Genomic DNA, 6,000 nt, shown 5'->3' with positions numbered 1-6,000 from the left:
GGAAATGTCTATTTATGCCTGTTCTACCATCGTGTTTTGGAAGCACATAACTTGATTAATTTCACAAACTCATAGCTAAAAAGAAACTTGCCTCAGGATGAATCAACCCTTGGGTCTCACCCATATATAATTTAGATGAGACTCCAGACATTGAAATTTTGAGTTGATACTGGAACACTTGGGGCTATAGAAATGGAATGAATGTATTTTTGTATGTGAGAAGAACATTAGTTTTTGTGAGCCAGGGCAGAATGATATGGCTTGAATATTTGTCCCATCAGAAACTCTTGTTAAAATTTAATTGCTATTATAACAGTATTACAAGGTGGGAGTTTTGAGTGATGATGAGGTCATGAGGGTTCCACCTGCCCTCATGGGTAGGATTGGTGTCATTATAAAAAGGCAAGTTTGGCCCTCTGTGTGCCCTTCCACCCTCCACCATGAGATGACACAACAAGAAAACCTCACAAGGTGCCAGTCGCTTGATGTAGGACTTCCCAGGCTCCAGAGCTGTCAGCCAATACATTTCTGTTATAAATTACCCAGTCTCAGGTATTCTGTTATAGCAGCACAAAATGAACTAAGACAGTATGCAGTAAATTAAATGTGAGAGGAAATTTATACTGAAGTTAAGGAAACTAGGTGAAAAAAATTTTAACAGTCTTGACAAGACATAAGGGGAATTTAAATTCAGGCATTGGTGATAGGAAAGATGAGAAAAACAAATAGTCTAGAAATGCTTGGGATTTTAAATAGGCTGGATTTCATTACTGCTTTGGATGAAATGGTTGAAATAAAAAATAATTTACAATAATATATTTCTGCCTGGAGTGCCTGAGGGGATGACATATTTTATTATATTATTTTTTGAGACAGAGTCTTGCTCTGTCACCTAGGCTGGAGTGCAGTGTTGGGATTATTACTCACTGCAGCCTTGAATTTCTGGGCTCAAGCAATCCTCCCACCTCAGCCTCCAGAATAGCTAGGACTACAGGCAAGTGACACCATACTCAGCTAATTTAAAAAAAAATTTGTAGCGCTGGGATCTCACTGAGTTACCCATGCTGATCTCAAACTCTGGCCTTAAGTGATCTTCCTTCTTGGGCCTCCCACAGTGCTGAGATTACAGGCATGAGCCACTAAGCCTGTTGATGACATTTTTAATTTGAGAGTAGAAATATAAGAAGAGTCACTGGTTTTAAGAGAGAGATGATGTTGAGGAGTTTACTTTTGTTATTTAACTTTTTTTGATAATTAAGTTTTCAATTGAATTATTATTTGCAATCTTTAGATAGTCATTTCACAATTAATATAACCAGGGCAATTTTGTTACCTTAACAAAAGAACCTCATTTCTAAAGTACTGATATTTTGAAAGAGGACACTTTTAGAATTTTCTTTCAAAAATATCAACAAGTGAATTTGTATATTACTTCTCTCCTACTGTTATAACAGACTTCAACTTTGCTATGCAAAATCTTTAGCATTTCTTATTTCCTCTACAAGAAAGCCTAAGTGAGTAAGGCTAATAAACATTTTTTTTTTAATTTTTTCATTTGGGGTTCTAAATTTGTATCACTTTCAACATAATGATGTCCGTAATAAGATATGGTCTTCCGGGAGTTATTGTAAAATTGCACATAGCTGAAATTTAGCAGTCTCAGAATAAGAAAAGGTCTACATAAAATTACATTTAAGTTTGCATATTATATTTAATTATTTTAATAACTTGTCTTGACTTTTATTTCTAAGAACTATAATCTTACACATTCTGTGGTCAAATACACACACACACGGATAATAAAATAAAAAAACTAGTGCTATATATTTTAAATAATACAAGATATTTCATTTATTTAACAGTGAGAAAAACGTGATGATACTTTGTTAGTCTGAAAATTATAAATGATATTGAAGCTAGGATGTAAGATTGCTAATGCTAAAAATATCATCTATTTTATTCTGAGTAACATTTGCATTTAACCCTCTTCATTTTCAAATCCTTTTCTCTTTTTGCACTCCTATCATATGGGTTGAATATTCCTTATTTGAAATGTTTGGGACCAGAAATGTTTGGAATTTGGGAAGATTTACATATACAGGATGAGATATCTTAAGAATGAAACCCAAGTCTAAACACAAAATTCATTTATATTTCATATATATTGATACATATAGCTTAAAGGTAATTTTATATAATGTCTTCAATAACTTTGTGCAAATGAAGCTTCGACTGCTTTTTCACTGTGCCTAGTCACATGAGGTTATGAGAGACAGGACTAGCTGGCTTTCATAGGCCGACTAAGAATCCTTAAGCCTAGCTGGGAAGGTGACCGCATCCACTTTTAAACACGGCACTTGCAACTTAGCTCACATCTAACCAGTTAGACAGCTCACTAAAATGCTAATTAGGCAAAAACAGGAGGTAAAGAAATAGCCAATCATCTATTGCCTGAGAGCACAGCATGAGGGACAAGGATCAGGATATAAACCCAGGCATTCAAGCCTGCAACGGCAACCCCCTTTGGGTCTCCTCCCTTTGTATGGGAGCTCTGTTTTCACTCTATTTCACTCTATTAAATCTTGCAACTGCACTCTTCTGGTCCATGTTTGTTACAGCTCGAGCTGAGCTTTCACTCACCGTCCACCACTGCTGTTTGCTGCCGTCGCAGACCTGCCGCTGACTCCCATCCCTCCGGATCCGGCAGGGTGTCCACTGTGCTTCTGATCCAGCGAGGCGCCCATTGCTGCTCCTGATTGGGCTAAAGGCTTGCCGTTGTTCCTGCACGGCTAAGTGCCCGGGTTCGTCCTAATCAAGCTAAACAGTAGTCACTGGGTTCCACGGTTCTCTTCCGTGACCCACGGCTTCTGACAGAGCTATAACACTCACCACATGGCCCAAGATTCCATTCCTTGGAATCTGTGAGGCCAAGAACCCCAGGTTAGAGAACCTGAGGCTTGCCACCATCTTAGAAGCGGCTTGCCACCATCTTGGAAGTGGCTCGCCACCATTTTGGCAACCAGGAAGGGACCTCCAAAGCGGTGAGTAATACTGGACCACTTTCACTTGCTCTTCTGTCCTATCCTTCCTTAGAATTGAAGGAAAATACCGGGCACTTGTCAGCCAGTTAAAAATGATTAGCGTGGCCGCCAGAGTTAAGACCCAGGTGTGAGGCTATCTGGGGAAGGGCTTTCTAACAACCCCCAACCCTTCTGGGTTGGGGACATTGGACAATCTGGAGGTAGCTTCCACTTTCAATTTTCTTGGGGAAGTCGAGGGCCAACTAGAGGCAGAAAGCTGTAGTCCCGAGCTCCCGGCGGTAGCCGGTTGAGATCATGGTGCAGCCAGAAGTCTCTTTAACAGTCTCCCATGCATGTGCCTCTTACCTTTCCTTCTGACCCATACCTCCTGGGTCCCAACCACGACTTTCTTGAAAGTGTAGCCCCAATATTCTCCTTACCTCTGAATCTACGTCCTCTGATCCCTGCCTCCTAGGTACTGATGGTTCAGACTTTTAATTCCTCTAGCAAGTTGTATCTCCAAAGGGATCTAAGGAAGCTCTACTCTGCGTCCTTAAGCACCTAGGCTATAACCGAGGGAGTCTTATCCCTGGTGTCCCTTCTGATTTAGGTATACAGCTCTCAACATGGGCAGTTACGTGGGACCCGTTCCACACCATCCTTGCCAGGGCCCCAAGTTTGTAATGGCTAAGAGAGAGAGAGAGAGACGGAGAGAGAGAGAGACAGAGAGACAGAAAGAGAGACGGAGAGAGAGAGAGATAAAGAAGGAGTCAAAGAGAAAAAGAAAGAAAAAGATAGAAATAGTAAAAAAAAAAAAAAAAAAAGTAAAGAAAAAAAAAAAACCAGTGTGCCCTATTCCTTTAAAAGCCAGGGTAAATTTAAAATCTATAATTGGTAATTGAAGGTCTTCTGCGTGACCCTATAACACTGCAATACTACCTTGTTGTCAGTGTAAACAAGGGCGTAGCCTGAAATCACTGAGACCACTGACAACCCGTAGCTTTCCTATCAAAAATCCTTAACCCAGTAACCCGCAGATGCATTCGATCTGTAGCAGCAACTGCTTTGCTAAAAGTAGAAAAATAACTTTTAGAGGAAACCTCATTGTGAGAACACCTCGCCAGTTTTCTAAGTCGAAAAAGCAAAAAGGATAGCTTACTAACTCAAAAATCTTAAAGTATGGGGCTATCCTGTTAGAAAAGGGTAATGTAACTCCAACCACTGATAATTCCCTTAACCCAGCAGATTTCCTAACAGAGGATTTAAATCTTAATTACCACACAAAGGTCCGACCAGACCTAGGAGGAACTCCCTTCAGGACAGGACGATAGATGGTTCCTCCCAGGTGACTGAGGAAAAAAACCACAATGGGTATTCAGTAATTGATACAGAGACTCTTGTGGAAGCAGTTAGAAAAATTGCCTAAAAATTTGTCTCCTTAAACATGCCAGCTGTTTCCACTCAGACAAGCCTTAAAATACTTACAGAATCAAAAAGACTTCTCAATCCTTACTCAAAAGGTTACCTATGCCCTCTTTGAAATAAATTTTCATAAGAACTGCTTTTATAGGAATGCATCTTAATGGGGCAGCTAGGTGGTTATGAAATGCTCAGGAACCCAGCCAAGCTCTAGGACTCACCCCTGGTCGCAAAGGCAATGTTGGGCATGCTGGTAAAGGACCACTAGAATCCAGCAGCCCGGACCCCTTTCTTTGTGGTCAAGGGAGGCGGGAAAACAGGTGCAGGACTGCTACATCGGTGAGCATAACTAATCCGATAAGCAGAGGTCCATGGGTGGTTACTCACCCTGGAAAAGAATAAGCATTAGGCCCTTAGAGGACGCTCTAGGGCTAATGCTCATCGGAAAATGACTAGGGGTGCTGGCATCCCTATGTTCTTTTTTCAGATGGGAAACGTTCCCCCCACCCCAAGGCAAAAACGCCCCTAAGATGTATTCTGGAGAATTAGGACCAATTTGACCCTCAGACGCTAAGAAAGAAATGACTTATATTCTTCTGCAGTACCGCCTGGCCACGATACCCTCTTCAAGGGGGAGAAACCTGGCCTCCTGAGAGAAGTATAAATTATAACAACATCTTACTGCTAGATCTCTTCTGTAGAAAGGAGGGCAAATGTAGTGAAGTGCCATAGGTGCAAACTTTATTTTCATTAAGAGACAACTCGCAATTATGTAAAAAGTGTGGTTTATGCCCTACAGGAAGCCCTCAGAGTCTACCTGCCTATCCCAGCATGCCCCCGACTCCTTCCCCAACCAATAAGGACCCCCTGTTACCCAAGTGGTCCAAAGGAGATAGACAAAGGGATGAACAATGAACCAAACAGTGCCAATATTCCCTGATTATGTCCCCTCCAAGCAGTGGTAGGAAGAGAATTCAGCCCAGCCAGAGTGCATGTACCTTTTTCTCTCTCAGACTTAAAGCAAATTAAAATAGACCTAGGTAAATTCTCAGATAATCCTGATGGCTATATTGATGTTTTACAAGGGTTAGGACAATCCTTTGATCTGCAATGGAGAGATATAATGTTACTGCTAAATCAGACACTAACCCCAAATGAGAGAAGTGCCACCATAACTGCAGCCCGAGAGTTTGACGATCTCTGGTATCTCAGTCAGGTCAATGATAGGATGACAACAGAGGAAAGAGAACGATTCCCCACAGGCCAGCAGGCAGTTCCCAGTGTAGATCCTCACTGGGACACAGAATCAGAACATGGTACTGCAGACATTAGCTAACTTACGTGCTAGAAGGACTAAGGAAAACTAGGAAGAAGCCTATGAATTATTCAATGATGTCCACTATAACACAGGGAAAGGAAGAAAATCCTACTGCCTTTCTGGAGACACTAAGGGGGGCATTGAGGAAGCATACCTCTCTGTCACCTGACTCTATTGAAGGCCAATTAATCTTAAAGGATAAGTTTATCACTCAGTCAGCTTCAGACATCAGAAAAAAAGCTT

At 41.2% G+C, this 6,000-nt stretch overlaps 1 long non-coding RNA gene across 1 annotated transcript in view; it reads left to right on the top strand.

Annotated features, from left to right (window-relative positions):
* The first annotated feature begins 3,002 nt into the window (after positions 1–3,002).
* MIR548XHG (MIR548X host gene) overlaps positions 3,003–6,000 on the top strand; it is a 198,548-nt gene continuing 195,550 nt past the window's right edge. The window contains exon 1 of the long non-coding RNA NR_109925.1: positions 3,003–3,041. This is a non-coding gene — a long non-coding RNA (MIR548X host gene). The remainder of the gene's footprint in view (positions 3,042–6,000) is intronic.

The sequence above is a fragment of the Homo sapiens genome, chromosome 21 (assembly GCF_000001405.40).
Source record: "Homo sapiens chromosome 21, GRCh38.p14 Primary Assembly".
Classification (NCBI taxonomy): Eukaryota; Metazoa; Chordata; class Mammalia; order Primates; family Hominidae; genus Homo; species Homo sapiens.
The sequence above is the reverse complement of the archived record's forward strand: the minus strand, read 5'-3'. Positions and strand labels throughout refer to the sequence as shown.